Below are 23262 nucleotides of genomic sequence, written 5' to 3'. Positions count from 1 at the left end.
GGGCATAGGGGAAGGGGGTCAAAAAACTACCTATCAGATGCTAGGTTCACTATGTGAGTGGCGCGACCAATAGAAACCCTAACCTTAGCATCACGCTCCATAACCACGTAACGAAACTGCACATGTACTCCCTTAATCTAAAATAATTTAAAAAAAACAAAAAAAGAAATCTCAGAGGCCCTGGTCGTGAGAAGCACCCAGCCTCCACTCAGGGATGGAGGGATACAGAAGCAAACTCCACCTTCCGTTTCCTGTTTGATCACAGCAACTCCCAATGCAGGTCTCTGCTATAAGAAGTAGATACAGGTTTTTTCTTTTCCATCACTTATCATAATCTAGAACGACCTCTTATTTTGTTTGTTTGTAATCTTGTTTATTATCTGTAGGTTACATGAGGAGCAAGGGCTATCTTGCCTATTGCTGTATCCCCAGTATACAGTAGGAGCTCAATAAATTTTTCTTTTCAAGATGAGTTCTCACTATACTGCCCTGGCTGGTCTCAAGATCCTGGGCTCAAGTGATCCTCCCGTCTCAGCTTCCCAAAAGACTGGGATTGCAGGCGTGAGCCACTGTGCCCGGCAATAAATATCTTTTCTTAATCTCGAAGGTGAGGATACTTCTAGCAATACAGCAATAAGCCTGAAACACAGTACCTGAGGGTGGGAGAGCTCACTGAGCAGAGATGGTGTTTAGGAAAGAAGTAGAAATGCCTCTACTTCGGAAGGGACCATTTCTGTTCCTAAAATAAATAAAATCATATGATTTTCCTAGGACTATTTTTTGTGGCTCTATGGGTTAAGAGTCAGAACCTTCATGTTAGTCGCCCTACAAAGGAACAAGGGAGATCCTTATTACTAAGTTTTGAAGTTTGACCTCAGCTTAGCTAAGATTTTACTCTGTACCCATTACTGACGGGCTGGTACAAAAATAAGAGCAGTAACTTCCTCTTTTATTTAAACAAAGAGAGAGAGAGAGAGAAATAACGTACTGAACTCTGAACTTCCTCTCTTTTAACCACAACTTACTACTGACTTTTACTTTGGTAAAAAGATTACCAAATCAGGCACATTCTTGGTGCTGATGGATAGTTTCTATCCAAAACTCTGCCTGGAACATTGTCTACTAATACCAATTTTAATATAGGAGCCAGTCCAGGAACCCTGATTGGAAGCGGACAAGACTGACTCCAGGCTGCCATAAAACTGCCCAGCTCAGCTTTGGGGCTGCTACAGTTACATTTACAGGATAGACACTTTCCATACGAAAATGAAACTGCATTCAAAATGCAATTCTATTTCGAGGCACAAATCCACAGCTAGATAGGGCAGAGGAGCTGGGACATCGGGTGCAGCAGCCTAAGTTTGGCCCCAAGCTCTGCCACTTAAGAGCTCTGTGACATTGTATTACAGGAAAGGAGTCCTGATCCAGACCCCAAGAAAGGGTTCTTGGATCTTGCACAAGAAAGAATTCAGGGTGAGTCCACAGTGCAAAGCAAAAGCAAGTTTATTAAGAAAGTAAAGTGGTGAAAGAACAGTTACTCCATAGACAGAGTAGGGGGTTCCTAAAAGTAAGAGAAGGAGCACGTCCACCCTAGGTAAAATATTCGTGTGTGTGTGTGTGTGTGTGTGTGTGTGTATGTGTATATATATGTATATATATACACATATATATGTATGTATATATACACATATATACGTATGTATGTATACACATATATACATATATATGCATGTGTATATATATACACATACACATGCATATATATGATTATATGATCATATATGTTATATATTATATAATCATATATATAAATCATATATATATGATTTTAAAAATCATGGAGAGATGTGTTCTGCTACAAGGGTTTGTGATAAAGGATTAATTTTCTTAATTACTCTGTTTTGCAATAATCAATATTATTATCCTTAAAGCAAAATTAGGAATGCCTTTGTTCTCAAGATATCGGGATAGCTGGACACTGCCAAGCCTGGCTCTGTTTAGTAAACATTATCAATCTGTTCCCTTAACTGTAGACATCTAGAGGCTAGGAATACCTTTCTTTCTGGGAATGCAGCCCAGCAAGTCCCGGTCTTATTTTCCTAGCCCTTACTCAAGATGGAGTCACTCTGGCTCAAGTGCCTCTGACAATTGGGGAAATGACTTCACCTCTCTGGGCGTTAGTTTTCCCATGTGTTAGACAGAAAAGAGTCTCGTTTCTGTTATGGGCAAGCAAGCTTCAGCTAGACCCAACCTTTCCATAGGTAACAAGTAAAAACTCTCAACGAAAAAAAAATTTTTTCCTGAAATTACTCGAAAGTGAACAAAAGAAAGCAGATTCTGCAGAGAGGTTGAAACTTGGAAGAAGGGAATGGTCATTTTACAGCTTTTCCCCTGAACGCAAGCTGCTGTCAGCTAAAACTTCAACATGAAGCCTCAAGTCTTTCTGGTGTACAGAACCAGAGGACAGGTTTCAGGTCACTCACGGCTTCTGGAAAGTGAGGAAGGAATTCCATAATAGAGACAGCCAAGAGAGAAGAGCCCCAAATTCTGTGTCTAAACCCCACCCAAATGTCTGGCTGACTCTTGAACCATGCATGCATGGGGCAGTCCCAAAGAAGACTCAAGGATAAAATAAAAAACAGAACTGACATCTGAGCTGGTGTCCCAGAGACAGTCTACTGTCCAACCAAGTCAATGGCCTACTAAAACAAAAACATCAATGCTTTTCAGAGAAATACGAATGAATCCAGAGTCTCCACAGCACAACACTTACAGTGTCCAGGATACAATCCAAAATTACCCGACATACAAAAAACCAGGAAGATAAGACACAATCTCAAGAGAAGCTAATCAACCAGGAAAAAAGGGGGAGGAGCAATGATTCAGAGTAGGTTGAGGCAATAACCTCAAATTGTGTGAGATACAATGCATTCTACTGGAAAGAACAGAAAACCCATCTTAAGACGTTTTAAGCAGTAAGAGAATTATCTAACAAAACAAAATTTCAAGAGATAGAGCTATATCAAGATTAGTGAATTCAGGGGCTCAAGGATATTGTGAAGGAGACAGATCCTCTCCCTCTTTTTACACTGCCATTTACAGCTTGCCAACCTTGTCCCTCATGGTCAAAACATAGCTGCCACAGCTCCAAGCACCACATGCAAATGTGACATGAAATACTTAAACACAAATCCTTTGTCCTATGTCCCCTTCCTTCCTGCTTTGCCCTGTGAGTATGTGATTCTGGGAGCTATCACAGCCTTCCTGGGACCAAGAAGGGAGACACTGATCACATTTTGAGGATGGCAGAGCAAATAACTGAGAGGCGCTTGATGACAGTGTTAAGTCTTTGATTAAACCAACCCTGGAACCACCAGCCTCCTTGTTAGGCTCGCCAGATATTCTGTTTTTAAGAACCAAAGCAGGTCAGGCATGGTGGCTCATGCCTGTAATCCCAGCACTTTAGGAGGCGGAGGTGTGAGGATTGCTTGAGCCCAAATTCAAGACCAGCCTGGGAAACACAGTGAGACCCTGTTTCTATAAAAAATAAAATAATTAGCTAGGAATGGTGGGACATGCCTGTAGTCCCAGCTACCTGGGAGGCTGAAGTGGGAGGTTTGCTTGAGCCTGGGAGGTTGAGGCTGCAGTGAGCTGTGTTTGTGCCACTGCACTCCAGCCTGGGTGACAGAGCAAGACCTTGTCTCAAAAAAAAAAAAAGAACTAATGCATCCTATCTGAAACAACCTCCAGAATTGGAGAGCTAGTAACACTTGCTATAAATAGAAGGTGAGTATGAAGAACACAATGAAAATTTAAATTATTAAATTCTAGCAGGTACATAGCTCTGAGTCTGAGATTGCTTCATTCTTTTAGCTTAAAAGGGAGATTTGCATGCATTAGAAAGATGTTTAGGACATGATAGCACCAAACTAAGACACTCTCCTTAACCCGAAGAATTAAAAGAAAAAAACATTTTTTTCTTTTTTATACTGAGTCTCATTCTGTTGCCTAGGCTAGAGTACAGTAGCGCGATCTTGGCTCACTGCAACCTCTGACTCCGGGTCCAAGCAATTCTCCTGCCTCAGCCTCCCGAGTAGCTGGGAGTACAGGCACACACCACCATGCCCGGTTTTTTTGTTTTGATTTGTTTTGTTTCTTTTTTTTTTTAGTAGAGATGGGGTTTCACCATGTTCACCAGGCTGGTCTGGAATTCCTGACCTCAAGTGATCCACCCACCTTGGCCTCTCAAAGTGCTGGGATTACAGGTGTGAGCCACCACACGCGGCCTACAAGAGAATTTCTTTTAAAACTACGTAGTTCCATGTTGTTGAATACCTTACATCATTAAAAATCTTTGAGTGCCACCAGTAACATACTTCAGATATTTTAAAAATGCACCCCTGTATTAACAACTCCCAAACATTTACCTCTATCCCTGACTTCTCATGACTTCCAGTTGCCTTTGGGCACCTACACCCGGATATGGCACAGGCACCTCATCCTCAACATACCCAACGCATAATTCTCTATCTTCTCCCCCAAGCTTTCTCTTCTTCTTGTATTCTCTGCTGCTATTCATGATATTTCTATGTATCAAGCACCCAAACCCGGACTCCCTCAATAGGTGACAACATTTATAGTACTTTTTTTTGGTACTAAGTGCCAGGGTGCCACTGCATCTTACACAAGCACTAACATATTTGATCCTGACAACTCTTATTAGGTAGGTCCTATTATCATTCACCCCTTTTTCAAAATGAAGAAGCTAAGGATAAGAAATTTGCCTGGGGTCATGAGATTTGAATGCAGGTCTGTCTAATTCCTCTTTTTTTCTGCTTCACAAAGAAAATAGAAACCACCAAGCAAGATTTCTCAACTGGCCTCAAAACTTCATTTATTTCCCACCCATTTTCCCATCACTTCTCATTTTCACCTGTGCTCTCCCCTCCATGGGTCCTTCCCTTCCTTGACAACTCTCTCGCTCTCTCTCTTTCTCTCTCTCTCTTTCTCTCTCTCTCTCTCCTAATGCTGTCAACCTCACCCCCTTGAGAAGTGCCATGCTCCCTTTGGGAACCTGGAGGTCTTTCTCTCCTGCTTTTAAAGTTTCCTGCCTTTTCTCTGCCTCCTCCAAATTTTCTATTCTTCAAGCTAAACATCCCCGGGTACTTCAACTACTTCTTCCTGCCAAGTGTCTTCTCTCTCTTGCTTCTCCCCGCACCTCACTGACATTCTTCCTCTCTCTTTCACTGCTTCCTCTGCCTCAAAACCCAACTGAGAACTCAGGCTCCTCTGTGCAGCCTCCCCAGGACCCTGGGAGGTGAGCTGCTCCTGGCATTTCTCCCCCCTCTCCACCATTACAGCACACATCACACTGAGTTATCAATGTGTGATTTATGAGTCTGGCCTACAAGTTTAGGGGCTGCTTGAGGACAGAAAGCAGCTTCCCCCTGCCCATCACAGGGCGGCTGACTATGCCAGCCAGACCACGCTGTGCTATCACTCCTTTTACACTACTCTCTTCTGAGTGGACTTTGGAAAAGATACAAAGGAGGGATCTCACACTTTCCAAATCAGACCCCACAACTTGATATGCCACCTTCTGTGCCCTGGCCAAAGACTGACCAGGGATACTGGTGGAGTAGCTGAACCTGGACCTTCAAGCCTAGGAGTCAGACCACCTGGGTTTGTTGCCCTCTTCAACTACTTAGCTTAGAGACCAGTGGCAAGTTAATTAATGTCTCCTGGGATTTGTTTGTTTAGAGAGAGGGTCTCACTCTGTCACCCAGACTGGAGTGCAGTGGTGCCATCAAAGCTCACTACAGCCTCAACCCTCACAAGCTCAAGGGATCCTCCCACCTCAGCCTCCTAAGTAGCTGTGAATATAAGCACGAGCCACCACACCTAGCTCATTTTTTTTTATTCTTTGCAGAGATGGGGTTTCACTATGTTTCCCAGGCTGGAAGCTATTTAATATCTCTAAGCCTCAGTCACTTCATGAAGTTAATAATGAGATCAACCTCCTAGGGTGCTGTGGACATTCAATGAGATCATGTGTGTGAAGCATCCAGCTCAGTGCCTCAATAAATTAGTGCAGCTCTTCAGGGAAGTATTATTCCATGAAAGTGCCTGCTGTATGTAACCCTCTTCCTTCCAAGTGACTCAACAGCTTGCATAGTTCTCAGCCTGTCCTCCCAGCCTGGTAACTTAGGCATGAAGAAATCAGCCTACTGTGATCACGTGGCCAATGAAAGTCCTCAAACTAGAAGCCACTTTCTGAATTCCTTATTCAAGGCTATGGCTAAAAAAATCTACACATGTGCAAACTCCCCCACTGGGAAAAAAAAAAAACAGTTTGATGGAAGTATTCCTCCCACTAGAGAATTTCCCCTTCCTGTCAAATGTTGCCAGTTTCATTCATTGCTGTGGCAGGCACACTTTCCTGGCCATGAGAGATGGGCCTTATCACCATCCCGTATACCAGATCCTTCCTGGTTGCCATTCTGCCACACTCTTACGGGGCCTTCCTCACCATGGTGCTCCTCTGTGACCCCCGGAGCCCTTCACCTTGGTGAACAGACAGTCTGACTCGAATGGACCTGAATTCAATCTACGCTCTGCAGTTACTTAAGCAAATGTTTTATCTTCTCTAAGCTTGCTTTCTTATCTACAAAAGGGATAAGAATAGCAGCAAATCTTAGTGGAAGGTAAAGATTCAAAGGGATAAAGTTTGTGAAAATGCCCAGCTCATTGCAGACACTGAAATATTAGCTGCCTTCATCATCATCATCATCATCCTCATCATCAACGTCATTGTCACCATCAATTCTGAAGTTACACAATCCTAAAACCAAGTCTATTTTTGAATCCTAACTGTAACTTTGGAAAAATTTCTCAATTCTTTGTGCTGTTTTCTCAGCATAAAATGGCAACAATAACAGTAGCAGCCACACAGGGCTGTTGTGAGGATTAAATAAGTTAATACATGTAAAGTACTTAGAACAGTGCCAGTCACCGAGTGAGTACTCAATAAATGTCAGCTCAAGTTAATGGCATTTGAAATCTTTGAAGACATCCAGGAAATGGAAAATTCCCTTGGCCTCTCTGTCCAATGAATAGAGATCCTTCTAGGGACTGCAGACGCACGTGCGCACACACCCACACACACACACACACTCTCTCTCTCTCTCTCACATCCTCAAGCAGGGACAAGCCTAGCCCGGATTTCATTTTTTTCTTGGACTTGACTTTTCGTCCCATCTGGAGTGCCCTGGCCCCCCTATGGCCCTTGGGCCCCAAATCAGAGACGGCCAGAAGGGAAACACAGAGAGGCCAGCTGTCATGTGGGCCCCCACCTATCAGGCACACCAGAGAACATAAACACACACTGAATCCCAGCCCTTGGAAGTCTCGGCTGGAGGCAACCCTCAGCAGAGTCCCACCATGGGGATCTGACCCACCTCCGTGCTGGCATACTGTTCCCACATCTTCTGGCGGCTCTCTGCAGCCCCTAAACACCTCCTCCTCCCTCCCTCTGTGCTGATTCTGCTCATAAAACACTTCTTTCTCAACCCACATTATCCCCCAGGATAAGCAGCTCCTTCTCTCTGCAGGAGAGGGACAGTTCTCCGCCAGCATTCGACACAGCTCTCTGACACTTCACCCGAGTGACAGGTCAGGCCAGGCAGTTCCGCCAAAACCAATCATTCCATTTCTAAAAACCTCTTATACCATACTTAAAATTCTATTTGGAAAAATAACTTTTGTCTGTGATATGTTAAAGCTGAAAGATGATAATAAAAATTATCTTGGGACATGGTGATGGGGTAAGAATAAAACTTCTAATTATAAAGAATTCAAAGCACTACATTTATATCATCTCTAAAGATTAAAAAAAAAGCCTCAACAGTCCATGGGCCAAGTTCATGAGCCCCCAGAGCCTCTTCTCTATATATTTCACAGTGATATTCGAACTACATTGACAGTTACCTGCAGTAAGAGACACATTTTACATTTTGACCCAGTTCACTCATGGCTATATATGTTTATATCAAATAAAAATTGTATGAGGCCAGGAGTAGTGGCTCATGCCTATAATCCCAGTACTTTGGGAAGCCAAGGTAGGAGGACTGTTTGAGCTCAGGAGTTTGAGACCAGCCCGAGCAACATAGGGAGACCCTATCTCTACAAAAAGTTTTAGAAATTAGCCAGGCATGATGGCATGTGCCTCAAGTCCCAGCTACTCATGAGAATGAGGTGGGAGGATCTCTTGGGCCTGGGAGGTTGAGGATACAGTCAGCTATGATTGTACCACTGCACTCCAGCCTGTGCGACAGACAAAGACCCTGTCTCAAAAAAAAAAAAAGTTTCGTGAAACAATATCTACCCTTCCTGAGAGTGATGCACTGTGATATTTTCTGTTCTGCTTTCTTCATGGTATTCTTGACCTATTATATTGACTTCATGAACTTCTAATGAGTGATGACCCACAGTTTAAAAAACATACATAGAAGAATTCAAGAAAACTTTCCAGAGTGGGGCTGCAATCTGATACAGGGGTTAAGGGCAACAGGACATTGAAGTCATGCAGTCTGGGCTTGAAATACAAGTTGGAATCTCCTGTGACTCAGGAGTGTGTAGCATAACAGAAGTAATGTGAGGTATAAAGTATCGTTGGTTGGATATGAATCCCAGCTCTCCTCTCTGGTAGCTGGATGACCCAGGACAAGCTATTCCCATGTCATTCCCTAGGCCTAGTCAGATTAGGACTCTCTGTCCATGATATTCCAGTGCCAGCAAGTACAGTCTATGAATCTGGATAGTAACTAAATCAGTACTGTGAATGAACCAAGGTATAGTTTGAAATGAACCTCTAAGAAAGACATAGAAGCACGCAGTGAACCCCAGAAGGCATTCCCCCAAATGCAGCCCCCTCAAAACCATCTATAGGGACAAGGCACTCATTCCCCCAGCTGCTGGGAAAACCAATTGCTCACAGCTGTGTCCTCCCTGGGACTCCTCCCCTGAAGAAGGGAGCTGCTTTGCCCAAGGTAATGCTGCCTTCCAAAGAGCAGCCCACAATCAATGCCCACTTGATGCATTGGCTTGTCCCAGTTCTGAAGGGCCGTCTCAGCTCCAGCCATGGAATTGGCTTTGGCCTCTATTACAACTATTGCACCACAGTTCAACTACCTCTTCCCTGCTTCCCTCTATCCCTTATAGATGTTGTTCCCAAGAGCTACATCCCCAATAAACCACCTGCATACAAATCTTCATCTTTTAAGACAATTTATCAATGATGCTAGCCAGAGTTGCAGAAGAACTAAATAAAGATGAGGTCTTTAGGACATTTTTACAAGGGCACATTTAAGAACTTATATTTTTTTCTATAACTAACATTTAATAAGCAATCACATGATTTTTGTTTTCATTTTTGTTTTTTGTTTGTTTGTGGTTTTTGTTGTTGTTTGCCTGTCTCATTTAATCCACATAGAACTCTGGGAGGTAGGCTCTGTGCCATTATCTTCATTTCACAGACAAAGAAACTGAAGATTAAAAAGAAAGATGCCTAAGACCCCACATGTGATTGGGGAGGAACTGAGGCCTGAACCCATGCTCTTGACCAGTAAGTCATCAGACCTCATCCGCACTCCATCACAGCTCTGTGATCACACTGACCACACTGTGTTGCAAGAACTCACTCACACGCCTCTCTCTCTCTCTCTCTCCTGCCACCCCCTCCCCCGCCGGCTCTCTTTATTCTCTCCCTCCTCAAGTACAGGGGCTTTGTCTTCCTTTCTCTGAATCTCAAGCTTTTAGGGAGTGCCAAGTGGTAGTAACGGTAGTATTTGATGGCAGTATTCAGTAGTCATGGTGGTAGTATTCAGTGTTGCGTGTGCACTAAGTCCTGGCCGTATCCTTTGCATACAGCATCTCATCTGGCCCTACCATTTCCCTAGGAGGTAGGTAGTATTATTATCAGGTGTAAATGTTGAGCACTCATTTGGGGCCTGCCTTTGATCAAGTTCATTTTCAGAAATGCACACTAGACTGGAGTATGTTTTTAGACAGCCAAGCAATTGCGAGGACCACACTGAAATTAGTGTGGTGGGTTCCAAAAAATATCACAAATTATTTGCAGCTTCTCCCATCAAGAGGAGGCATCTCTATTCTCTTCTCTATTTCCTCCTTTACTTCTGGGGTGGGCTTGTGATTTGCTTTGACCAGGGAATATGGCAGAAGTGATGTTATGCATGTTCTGAGCCTTGGCTTCAAGAAGCCCTGCAGCCCTTGCTCATGCCCAGAGAATGCACCCATCAGCATATGACCATGCTCAGGATAGCCCACTGGAAGATGAAAGACCTGAAGAGAGGCCCCAGTTGTCCTAGACATCCCTGCTGAGGCCCCAGGAAGGTAAATGAGCCCAGCCAAGAACAGCCAATCCCTGCCCAGATCAGACAGACCACCCAGCTGAGCCCAGCCCAAATTACTGACCCACAGAAACTAAAACTAAATAAAACAGTGGCTACTTTAAGCCACTAAGCCTTGAGGTTATGTGCTATCCAGCAATAGATAATTGATTTGTTGGGTGTCCAGTCAAATATCTGGAAGTAGAACCAACAAAGGATTCTTCTATATAACAAGTCAGCTTAGAAGAGAACTAACCCGGCCTCAAAGAGATCTGCTTGGGATGTCCACAGGTGATATGGTTTGGCTGTGTCCCCACCCAAATCTCATCTTGAATTGTAGCTCTCATAATCCCCATGTGTCATGAGAAGGACCTGGCGGAAGGTAATGGAATCATGGGGGTGGGTTTTCTAATGCTGTTCTCGTGATAGTGAATAAGTCTCACGAGATCTGATGGTTTTATAAAGGGCAGTTCCCCTGTGCACGCTCTCTTGCCTGCTGCCATGTAAGAAGTGCCTTGACCTTCCTTTGCCTTCTGCCATGATTGTGAGGCCTCCCCAGCCATGCTGAATTGTGAGTCAATTAAACCTCTTTCCTTTATAAATTACCCAGTCTCAGTTATGCCTTTATTAGCAGCATGAGAATGGATTAATACAACAGGCAACCAGAGAGGCAAGAATTCTGACTGATTGAAAAACTAGAAAGTCTGACAAGAGCCAGATTGTTCTAATAACTAAAAACAAGAAAAGTGCTTCTTTATTTCACTTTTAGGAACACAAATAGAACTCACTCTTTCCCTGCTATGTTTGATAAGATAAAGACGTCCAGAGTTTTGCATCTTAGTTTTACCAGTCAAGTGAGAGATAAAACTAGATACATCACCGCAAAGAAAGACAAAGGAAATTATGGCTTTGGAGACTGGAGTGAGATTTACTGAGTTCATCAAAACCTGTTTTCTTTTCCTCCTGGACATAGAGCTAGTCGACATGTCCCAGGACCCCCTTCCGTTGGTTGCCTCTTTGCCTGGGTTCTGGCAAATAGAATGTGAGCAGAAGTGATGTGACTTCCTTCCCCAGCTGAAGTTGTTGTGAAATGAGTGTGCTTTCTCAATTTCCCTTTCCCCTTCCACTGGCCCAATGGGGAGGACCCTGGGGTCCTGTGTGACTCTGTGGAAGATGTCCTGACCAGGACCACCTGCACTGGTTAGTGACATGAGTAAGAAATAAACTCCCTTCTGTCAAGCCACAGAGACTTCAAGGTTTGTCTGTTACAGCAGCTTTAATAGATTCTTACTAATACAGAATTTTTGAAATGTTAAGCCCTAAAAATAGTTTGTGAGCTCAAGTTTTCCTAGTATTTACAGAGCTAAATTATTGTGTGGAAAAACTGTCAGAATGCCCTGGCTTCCTTGTTGAACAGTCTGGAACCGATGGGCAACATTGAAACAGGAAGCAGATGTTCCCCAAAGAAGGCAAACGGCACCATTCCCCAATGGGTGATTCCAGAAGGTGCCTGTCTCCCATACGGATTTCACTTCCTCTATGCAAAACTAAAAAAGTCCCAGCTAACATTTCTCAGGCTCAGCCTCAGTAACTTAAAGCTCTGCACTTTTTAAATTTTTTAACAGAAAAATGGGCATAAGTCAATGGAGTTGCATAACAGAAAAGTGGGCATAAGTTCAGGAACAGATGAAAGTAATCATAGGTGATAGAGGTTAGGATAGTGATTACTCCTGAAGGATACGGTTGATAGGGATTGTGAGATGATGCTTCTAGGGTACCAGCATGTTCTGTTTCTTGATCTGGATGTCAATCAATTCTTCTTAAACTCTTCCAAAAAATTAAGGGAGTATTTCTAAACTCATTATCCAAGACTATCATACCAAAGCCAAACAAAAACACAAGAGAAGAAAACTATAAACCAATATCCCTGATGAACATAGATGGAAAAATCCTCAACAAAATATTAGCAAACCAAATTGAAGAACACATTAAAAGAATTTTATTCACCATGATCAAGTGGGATTTCTCCCTGGGATGCAAGGATGGTTCAACACATAGAAATCAATAAATGTGATACCCATGTTAACAAAATAAAGGATAAAAATCATATGATCATCTCAATAGATGCAGGAAAAAAAAGCACTTGAAAAAAATTAACATTCTTTCATGAAAAAAGTACTCAGCAATAAGGTATAAAGGAAATGCACTCAACACAATAAACACTATGGGCTCTATTATGACAAACCCGTAGCTAACATCCTTCTCAGCACTGAAAAGTTGAAAGCCTTTCCTCTAAGATCAGGACGCCCACTCTCACCCTTTCTTTTCAATAGAGTACTGGAAGTCCCAGCCAGAGTAATTAGGAAAGAGAAAGAAATAAAAGGCATCCTAATAGGAAGGGAAGAAGTGAACTTGTCTCTATTTGTTGACAAGGTGATTTTATATACAGAAAACCCTAAAGAATCCACTAAAAAAGCTGTTAGAACTGATCAACAAATTCAATAAAACTGCAGGATGCAAAACCAACATACAATCAGTAGTGTTTCTATATTAGATTATCTAATTATTCTAATTTTATATACTAGCTTATCTAATAACAAACTACCAGACCAGAAAATTAAGAAAACAAACTAATTTACAATAGCAGCAAAAAAAAAATTACTTAGGTGTAAATGTATCCAAGGAAGCAAACTATCTGTATACTGAAAACTATACAACACTGATGAAAGAAACTGAGGAAAACACAAATAAATGAAAAGATATTCCGTGTTCATGGACTAGACAAATTAATATTGTGAAAATGTCCATACTAGCCAAAGCAATCTACAGATTCAGTGCAATTCTTATCAAAATTCCAATGTCATTTTTCACAGAAATAGAAAAAACAATCCCTAAGTTCATATGGGACCACAAAAGACCCCAAATAGCCAAGACAACATTGAGCAAAAAGAACAAAGCTGGAGGAATCACACGACTTAATTTCAAAATACATTATAAAGCAATTGTAATCAAAACAGCACGGTACTAGCATAAAAACAGATGCATCAACCAATGGAACAGGATAGAAAGCCCAGATATAAACCTGCACATTTATAGCCAACTGATTTTTGATAAAGGTGCCAAAAACACACAATGAGGGAAAGGACAGTCTCTTCAGTAAATGGTGTTGGGAAAACTGGATATCCACATGTAGAAGAATGCAATTAGACCTTTATCTTACAAACCACATACACAATCAACTCAAAATTGATTAAAGACTTAAAACCTGAAACTATAAAACTGCTAGAGAAAAACATAAGGGAAAAACTCCACAACATTGGTTTGGGCAATGATTAAGCAAAAGCAAAAGGAGACAAATGGGAGGGCATCAAACTGAAAGCTTCCTCACAGCAAAGGAAACAATTAACAAAGTGAAGAGACAGCCCACAGAATGGGAAAAATATTTGCAAATGCTGTATCTGATAAGAAGTTAATATCCAAAATATACAAAGAACTCAAACAACTCAATAGCAAGTAAACAAATAACCTGATTTAAAAATGGGATCTGAACAGAAATTACTCAAAAGAAGACACACAAATGGCCAATAGGTACTTGAAAAAATGTTCAGCACACTAAGCACTAGGGAAATGCAAATTAAAACCACAGTGAGATATCACCTCACACCTGTTAGAATGGCTTTTATCAAAAAGATAAAAAATAACATGTTGGAGAAGATGTAGAGAAAAGGGGACCCATACACTGTTGGTGGGAATGTAAGTTAGTATAGCCTTATGAAAAACAGTACTAAAAGTTTCTCAAAAAAACAAAAAAGTGAACTACCACCGAGCATGGTGGCTGACACCTGTAATTCCAGCACTTTGGAAGGCCAAGGCAGGTGGATCACCTGAGGTCAGGAGTTTGAGACCAGCCTCACCAACACAGTGAAACCCCGTCTCTAGCAAAAATACAAAATTAGCCAGGCGTGGTGGTGCATGCCCGTAATCCCAGCTGCTTGGGAGGCCGAGGCAGGAGAATGTCTTGAACCTGAGAGGTGGAGGTTGCAGTGAGCTGAGATCGCACCATTGTACTCCAGCCTGGGCAACAAGAGCAAAACTCAGTCTCAAATTAAAAAAAATTAAATTAAATTTTTTTTAAGTAATCCCACTTCTGGGCATATATTTAAAGCAACTGAAATCAATATGTCAAAGAATATGTGCATTCCCATGTTTGTTGCAGTACTACTTACAATAGCAAAGATAGGGAATCAACCTAAGTGTTCAACAGAGGATGAATGAATAAAGAAAGTATGGTGTATACACACAATAGAATCCTACCCAGACTTTAAAAAAAAGAGAGAAATTATATCATTTGTGACAATATACATGAATCTGGAGGACATTATGCTAAGTAAAATAAGCCAGAAACACAGAGACAAATACAGCATGATCTCACGTATATGTGGAATCTAATAAAGTCGTAGTCATAGAAGTAGAGAGTAGGAGGATGGTTACCAGAATCTGGGATGAGGGAAGGAGTTGTTGATCAAAGGATACAAAGTTTCAGATAGACAAGGGGAATAGGTTTGGAGATCTATTGCACAGCAGGGTAACATAGTCAATAATAAGTGTATCATATATTTCAAATAACTAAGTAAATTTCAAATGTCTCACCATAAAAAATAAGTAAACAAGCTGATGGTTATATTAATTAGTTTGAATTAACCATGACACATTGTATATATGTATCAAAACATCACATTGTACCCCATCAATTATGATTTGTCAATCAAAAATAATATTAATAGTTTTTTTAAAAAAAGCTAGCCACCAAAAGATGAATATCCAACTGAAATAAAAAGAAGTCCTTCTCTACTCTATATGTCAATCCTGTTTCCCTAAGTGCACTGTTTGTCTCAGAAACAATTATCAATACCCTCAGCCATAAATTTTGCCACAAAATGTATCTGGATAACTACCAAAAAAAATCCACACATACACATGCAAAAAAATCCAAATAACGATCAAATCTTCATTTGCAGCACTCACTAAACTCTAAAGAATGGTCTCTACCTTTAGGGAGGGAAAGAAGATCTTCAATATAGGGCCATCCCACAAAAATCACTGCCCTGACTATCCCAATGAGACAAGCGACCGTCCTTCAGACTTCACCCTCCACCTTCACCTACACTATCTGTCAGCTTCTTCAACCGAAAAGGGATATAAACACTCCACCCAAAGGGTGAAGGGAACCCAAATTTAGAAGGGTGAAATGGTCACAAATCTATTTAAAGTTGAAATGCTACCAATACATTTTTGAAGTGAGGTCAGCCGATGGGGCGATCACAGATTGCAATTCTACTTCCTGAGGTTTCCCACAAATTAAAGTGTTGCAGGCCAGGAAAGGGTTTCTCAGAAAGCACTGTGCTCACTCACACTCAAATCACCTCTCCGGCCCCAACCAAGCATTTCTCTCTAAGATCCACTGTAAGGTGCAGCTAATGCTATTGACCACGACATGTAAGCACATCCATTCTTGCGTCGTCTCCTTGATTCAAGAGCATTCATCTTGCCTCCCCAACAGGATTATAAACTCAGTAAGGACAAGGACAGTGCCCAGTCCTAGGAAGAACAGAAATAGCTACCATTTATCAAGTGCTTACTGTATATATGTCAGGTAGGGTGCTAAGAAACACTTCACATAAAGTAGGTTTTATTATTATATCCTTTTAGCTATGAAAAAACAGAAGCTCGAAGAGGTTAAGTAACTTGCTTAAGGTCCCACAGCAAGAAGTCAAGATTTAAATCGAAGCCTTTCTTTCTCCAAAACACCAACTCTTCACCACCATGTGCAGCATGTGCTCAATAAACACGTACCCACTGGGTGACAGCAGTGGAGAGGGAGAGGGAGTGGGAGGATGCCTTTCAGAGGAAAATTCATTTCTACGGCCCTCCGCGTCTAAGGATACAGTGAAGAGAGATGTCCCTATTGTTAGAACCATAAAAATAACTAGTAACCACCCTCAAAATAGAACAATCAACAATATGACTGACATGAAATTCCAAATGTCTCTTTAGGGTGTGAAAAATAGCAACAGCCACGAGGTGCTCCGGTAAGGCACCCCCACTGCTTCTAAATGGCCATTTCAGTTTCTCCTGCCTGACTTCCATCACTGCAGGCCTAGAATTTCAGGATTTGAGTCATGGCAAGTATTGTTGCCAAAGGCATCTCATGCTCCTCTTTTTCAAACATTTGGCCATTTCACTCACCCCCACACATCCCACTTTAAAACAGTGACAACAACCACTTCCTAGTCACTACACTGCCTTCACAGGGGCCAACCCCTCTGATATGACGTTCACCTCCCACCTGCTCCTCCCTCCCTCACACCCTCTTCTTCCTGTTCCCTGCATGTGCCCTATTCTCTCTCCTCACTATCTCAACTGCGTTGTCCTGTCCTGTGCCTGAAACACCCTCCCCTGCCCTCATCCCCTTGTCAATCCGGGAACTCCCACTCCTGCTGTAAGACTGTTCCCAAATGTCACCTCCTCTGTGGAATCTTCACCGGTCCGAGGAGGAGTAGGGATGCCATCCAAAGTGTTTTTACATTCTTGGTGTAGCACTTTACATTATGTCTCAGAACTAATTGGCCATGTGCTGTTCTCCTTTTAAAAGACCAGGAAGATCTTTAAGGGTGAGGACAGTGTCTTACTTCTCTTCAAAGCCCATATGGCAACCTGACATTATACAATATATTCGTTCTATGTTATTCACTTATTACTGTTATTCTACTAGAATGTAAATTCCATGAAGCCAGCGATGCTGTTCTGTTCACTGTTCTAGTTCCAATGCCTAGAACAGTACCTGATATGTGGTAGGCATCCAATAAATATATATTAAATGAATGGAAAAACGGTTGGATAGCCAGACGGATGGATGGATGGATGGATGGATGGTTGGATGGATGAATGGAAGAATAGCTGGGTGGATGGGTGGATGTTTGGATGAATGAATGGAAGAATAGCTGGGTGGATGGATGGATGGATGGATGGATGGATGGATGGATGGATGGACAGACGGATGGATGTATTGGTGGATAGGTGGATGGATGGATAGATAGATAGATGGACAGATAGATAGATAGATAGATAGATAGATAGATAGATAGATAGATAGATAGATAGATAGAGGCAGGATCATATTTTACCCACCCAAAGGTCATGAAGATATGGAGAAGCAGAACCAAGATTTAAAATCAGGTCTGTTTTGAGCTTGAACTCTCAAGCCCAATTTGATACTCCTTCCCTAGAGGCCCAAAGTCTGGTCTCTGGGAAGTAGCAAGATGAAAGAAAAAAGAAAGCTAGAATTCACCCCAGGAACACAGCTATGGTTGAACTAATGGTGTTGCATATCTTGAATCAGTTAATTTCCATCTACTTAGCCAGTTCCAAGACCCATAGGAGTGGATCAGAGCTCTCTGGTCTGGGTTTGAGTTCTCCTCCTGACTCTGTAGGGCAACTTTCTGCTTGTGGGCTGAGGGGGAAGGAGATGCCCAGGAGACCACAAACAAGCAGGACAAATGGCAATTAAAAGGTAATAACAACCATGGTAATGATTAACAGCTTAGCACTTCTGAATAAAAGCGACATCTCTACCAGATCCTGTCCTTGCTGTTCCTCTCAACCTTCAGGAACACTGAGCATCCTTACAACACCAAAAATTTCCAGGAAAGACACTGAACTTCCCTTCTCTGTTCACAAGGAGGAATAGCCAGTACAGAATCAAGCTCAGGGTAGAACAGAACCAGGCTCAACATTAGGTAAAAGTGTACCCTCGCTGACTCAAAAAAAAGTTGGTTTATAGGTAGAAACTAACTTTTTTTTTTTTTTTTTTTTTTTTGAGACGGAGTCTCGCTCTGTCGCCAGGCTGGAGTGCAGTGGCGCAATCTTGGCTCACTGCAACCTCTGCCTCCCGGGTTCAAGCGATTCTCCTGCCTCAGCCTCCCGAGAAGCTGGGACTACAAGCACATGCCACCACACCTGGCTAATTTTTGTATTTTTAGTAGTGAAGGAGTTTCACCATGTTGGCCAGGCTGGTCTCGAATTCCTGACCTCAGATGATCCACCCACCTCAGCCTCCCAAAGTGCTGGGATTACAGGCATGAGCCACCATACCCAGCCCATAGTTTTACATTCTCATAATTCCCTGTAGTTCCTTTATAATTAAAAAAAAAGAATATTCAACAGATATCTACTAAGTGCCCAGATTTGTGTTAGAGGGTTGTTAAAGATATATTAACACCAACTGAGACTTTCTCCTTAATGAAATCAGAAAGACAGACTTGACAAAAGTCCTTTCTCTATAAGTGAGTCAACACTGTTTATTGTTAAACTACTTAAAAAGTATCTTCTGAACAAGAGAAAATACTGCCTAAGCCAAAGGAATGAAGAGTTGTAATATATCAGAGATGGACACAGGGTGAGGAAGGTATTTGGCAGGCAATGTGAGTAATCTTGTGCTCCCTGAAAACTGACTTTCAGCTCAAAATGCCTCTCACTGAAATGCCGTGCTCTCTCTTTTTATTTATTTTCAATCTATTGGCCCAGACTTGCTCCTCCACCTCTGAAATTGTCTGATTTTTCTTCTTTAGAACAGCCACCTCAAACTGTAAACCCTAAACAAAAAGGAAGTCAGCTCATTATCTGAGTTATTAACTAAGAGGAGATGAAGTTCTCTGTCAAACTGGGAAAGAAGCCATCTCAAGGTAACAGGCTAGTTCTACCAAATACTTACTCATCTTACTTGCAGCCATGATACAAATAAATATTTACGGTTTCTCCATAGAATGTCACAAAGATAAGTCTCCTGCACATATTTTGTTTTGTTTTTAATTGAGATAGGGTCTTGTTATGTTGCCCAGGCTGGTCTCGAACTCCTGGCCTCAAGCAATCCTCTTGCCTTGGCCTTCCGGAGTGCTGTGATTACAGACATGAGCCACTGCCTTCAGCCCTGTTGCATATATTATCCAGGATATGGGCAGTTTTACAATACAGATTTTTAGCTCTAGTTCCTTGACAACTCAGACTTTCTCCAGTTACCTCAGAAAATGAGAATGAGAAGTTGGGCTTTTTTTTTTTAATTCCCAGACCACTGACTGCATCCCCAGCCATTACATAGGTTAGCTTCCCATTATATATTCTCCCGGTACCCAGTCCATTTTCTTCAAAGTACCTAATAAAAATGAGGTTAAATATGAGTGAAATGATCTGTAGAATGTCTTATCTCCCCCCGCTACATCATAAGCTCCATGACAACAGAAATTTTCTCAGTTTCATTCACCATTGTATTCTGTCACCTAAAATAGTTCCTGACAAATAGAACTTGACACATAGAACTTAATCAGTGAGGCCAGGTGTGGTGGCTCACTCCTGTAATCCCAGCACTTTGGGAGGTTGAGGTGGGCAGATCACTTGAGGTCAGGAGTTAGAGACCAGCCTGGCCAGCATGGTGAAACCCTGTCTCTACTAAAAATACAAAAATTAGCTGGGCGAGGTGGTGGGCACCTGTAATCGCAGCTACTTGGGAGGCTGAGGCAGGAGAATCACTTGAACCTGGGAGGCGGAGGTTACAGTGAACCAAGATCGTACTACTGCACTCCAGCCTGGGCGAAAGAGTGAGAGTTTGTCTAAACAAAAAAAAGAGACTGGGCGCGGTGGCTCACGCCTATAATCTCAGCACTTTGGGAGACCGAGGCAGGAGGATCACAATGTCAGGAGATCGATACCATCCTGGCTAACATGGTGAAACCCCATCTCTACTAAAAATACAAAAAATTAGCCGGGCGAGGTGGTGGGCGCCTGTAGTCCCAGCTACTCGGGAGGCTGAGGCAGGAGAATGGCGTGAACCTGGGAGGTGGAGCTTGCAGTTAGCCAAAGATTGCACCACTGCACTCCAGCCTGGGCGACAGAGCAAGACTCCGTCTCAAAAAAAAGAACTTTTAGAAGGAGAATGGAGTGAAGGGATGGATGCATGGATGGACAAATAGATAAACAGAAAAACGGATGATGAATAGAGAGGTGGGTGGATAAATGGAGGGATGGATGGATGAATAAATGAATGTATGTGGTGAATAGACAAATTTCCTACTGGATTTTCAAGCAGCCATCACACCTCCAAATGCCATATGTAAACACTGTGGATGTTGTATTCTCTGTAAAAAGGCTAACATTCTATCTATGGAATTTCACACAATTTCAATGAAGAGATTGGATGAATGAAGTCAAAGAATTCATGTTATTAGAGCAAATGCCAGAACATAAGGGACTTACCTTTGAAGGCGTCAGAGACAAACTTTTCAGCAGATCCCCCTATCTACCCAAGAATTAATTGAACTGCAGAGTTAAAAGGCCAGACCATATATTTTAAATTATACTTAGTAATTTAATGACCTGTATCTGAAAAGTAGCAAAAGAAGATGCGTATTGTGAAAATTATAACATATTGATCTACTTACATATATGTGTGTGTATACACGTGTGTGTGTGTGCATGTGTGATGGAAACAAAGAGACAGAGACAGAAGGATAAGCAGAGACAGAGAGAAGAGAGACCCCAACAGTACAAATGTGTATAAAATTATTTTCAAACCTTCAGTTAATCTTTTGACCAATTGCCTTCTTCTGTATCTTCTATTTTTTTTTTTTTTTTTTTTTTTTTTTGGCCTAGATACACTATAAACATGCTGCATCTGGTTGTGGGCAGTATCTCTGGAGTATCATTAGTGCTTGGAAATAATATATTTTTTAAAAATTATATCCTAAGAATCTATATATCATATCAGCTAGATTTTCAAAGGTCATATTTTCCATATTTACTTAGAAAGGCATTCTGTTGCCCAGTGACAAAGCTTCAGACTCCTCCTGAGTGCTCTACAGTGAAAAATGAATTCGTTGTTGCCTCTCCAACAAATCAGCCCTCCTTTTTAAGACTCAATGTTAACCCACTCAAAGATTCTTATTTCGATTGGGACATTGAGCCTGAAATCCCCCGTCAGGTGGTAAAAAAAAGAAAAAAGCCAAATCATCAAACACGAAGTCAAAAAGCCTCTGCCTTTTATTCACAGAGAAGCCCGCAGGACACATTTAGAATAAGCTAAAAGGTGAGTGGAGTTTGGCTCACAGGTCTCTGGGGTCTGCTTCTGGGAAGAAAGAGAAGTGAAACAATAGAAGTAACCTCTAAACTTGCAGCCTGACTTGGTGATTTTTTGAAAAAATGGACCTCTTTATGATTTTACTAAGAAAATTCAACCTGAAGTGCATGGGGCCATATTATAAGTTTCTAGGGAACACTGCCCAAAATAAAATTAACTTTTGATTCATTTTTTGTTATATAAATACACATATGCTATGCTAATCTACACATGTTAATTACCCACTAAAATAAACTTTATATTTGATAGGGTGAATATTGATAAAAACAAGAATGGTTGGATTCATGTCATGATTTGGGGTTTTTTAAGAATAATTTCAACTACAAGATTTAAAAACCTGTTTTCTAATCTACATGGGAAAAAGAAGAGCTGACTTACTCATTATCATCAATTCTAGCTTTCCATAGAAAATAAAATTAACCTTTTTTGTGATATAAAAAAGTGCAAACTTTTCTAGTCTACATGTGTTAATTACACACTAAAATAAACTTTGATTTGATAGGATTGATATTGATGAAAACAACAATAGTTGGAGTCATGTCAGACTTTGGGGTTTTTTAAGAATAATTTCAATTAGAAGATTTAAAAACATGTTTTCTAATCTACATGGGAAAAGGAAGAGCCAACTTACTCATTATAATCATCAATTCTAGCTTTTCATAGAAAATTTGTACACTGGGGTTTTTCTAGAGAGTCCATGGCAAGTTCAGATCTTTCTCAGAAGAAAAGACAATGCTAACCAGGCATGGGTTTCTGGGCCCAGACACTGAACTGAGCACTCACTGGTGTTACCCAATACCCAGGAAGAAATATACCCAAGAAGAGAAACTATCTAAGTACATGAAAGAGGCCTAGTCATTTAACAAGTTCCAGAATGAACTCCGTCCCACTTTGACACAGTTTCCTACAGCTAATCAAGTAATACTGATGGTCTCACTTAGAGTCATTGATACTTGCTGTGGCTATTTCTCATGCACCACCTCATTATTCTTCACCATAACCCTATGAGTTAGGTGCTATTATCCCCATTTTACAGATGAGGAGACCAAAGTTGCTGCTGGGGGACGACTTGCCCAAGGTCACACAGGGAGTAAGCGGCTCCATCAGAGATACATACCCAATTCTACTGGACTCCAACTCATTGCTAAGAATTCTGAATCTCTATATTTTATTGCCTCTCTATTTCTACCAAAGTCACTTCCTTTACAAAAACAACAAACACTTTGGGAGGCCAAAGCAGAATGAGACTCCTGGCTTGAGGCTGGCAGTTTGAGACCAGGCACAGGCAGCAAAGCAAGATCCACTATCTCTACAAAAAATTTTAAAATTAAAAAATATGTATTTGGCCAGGTTCAGTGGCTCACACCTGTAATCCTAGCACTTTGGGAAGCTAAGGCGGGCAGATCACCTGAGGTCAGGAGTTCGAGACCAGCCTAACCAACGTGGCGAAACCCCACCTCTACTAAAAATATAAAAATTAGCCGGGCATGGTGGCACGTGCCTGTAGTTCCAGCTACTCAAGAGGCTGAGGCACGAGAATCACTTGAACCTGGGAAGTGGAGGTTGCAGTGAGCTAAGATCACGTCACTGCACTCCAGCCTGGATGACAGAGTAAGACTCCGTCTCAAAAAAAAAAAAAAAAAAAAAAAAGGGCCGTGGTGACACACACCT

At 41.6% G+C, this 23262-nt stretch overlaps 1 protein-coding gene across 3 annotated transcripts in view, besides 3 other annotated features; it reads right to left on the bottom strand.

Annotated features, from left to right (window-relative positions):
- The window catches only part of PRKCB (protein kinase C beta), a 384629-nt gene that overhangs the window by 355721 nt on the left and 5646 nt on the right, over positions 1-23262 (bottom strand). The window lies entirely within an intron of this gene.
- Positions 11282-11371: an enhancer, noted in NCBI's record as "active region_10591". NCBI's record gives its function as "activates an Ori minimal core promoter by ATAC-STARR-seq in GM12878 lymphoblastoid cells {active_cell/tissue: GM12878}" and the evidence as "EXISTENCE:reporter gene assay evidence [ECO:0000049][PMID:35858748]".
- Positions 17337-17555: a silencer, noted in NCBI's record as "fragment chr16:23858657-23858875 (GRCh37/hg19 assembly coordinates)". NCBI's record gives its function as "represses an EF-1alpha promoter that drives an FKBP-Casp9 reporter gene in an ReSE screen in HepG2 liver carcinoma cells {active_cell/tissue: HepG2}" and the evidence as "EXISTENCE:reporter gene assay evidence [ECO:0000049][PMID:32094911]".
- Positions 22674-22723: an enhancer, noted in NCBI's record as "active region_10590". NCBI's record gives its function as "activates an Ori minimal core promoter by ATAC-STARR-seq in GM12878 lymphoblastoid cells {active_cell/tissue: GM12878}" and the evidence as "EXISTENCE:reporter gene assay evidence [ECO:0000049][PMID:35858748]".

The sequence above is a fragment of the Homo sapiens genome, chromosome 16 (genome assembly GCF_000001405.40).
Source record: "Homo sapiens chromosome 16, GRCh38.p14 Primary Assembly".
Lineage (NCBI taxonomy): Eukaryota > Metazoa > Chordata > Mammalia > Primates > Hominidae > Homo > Homo sapiens.
Note: the sequence above shows the minus strand (reverse complement) of the source record. Positions and strands in the feature narration are given on the sequence as shown.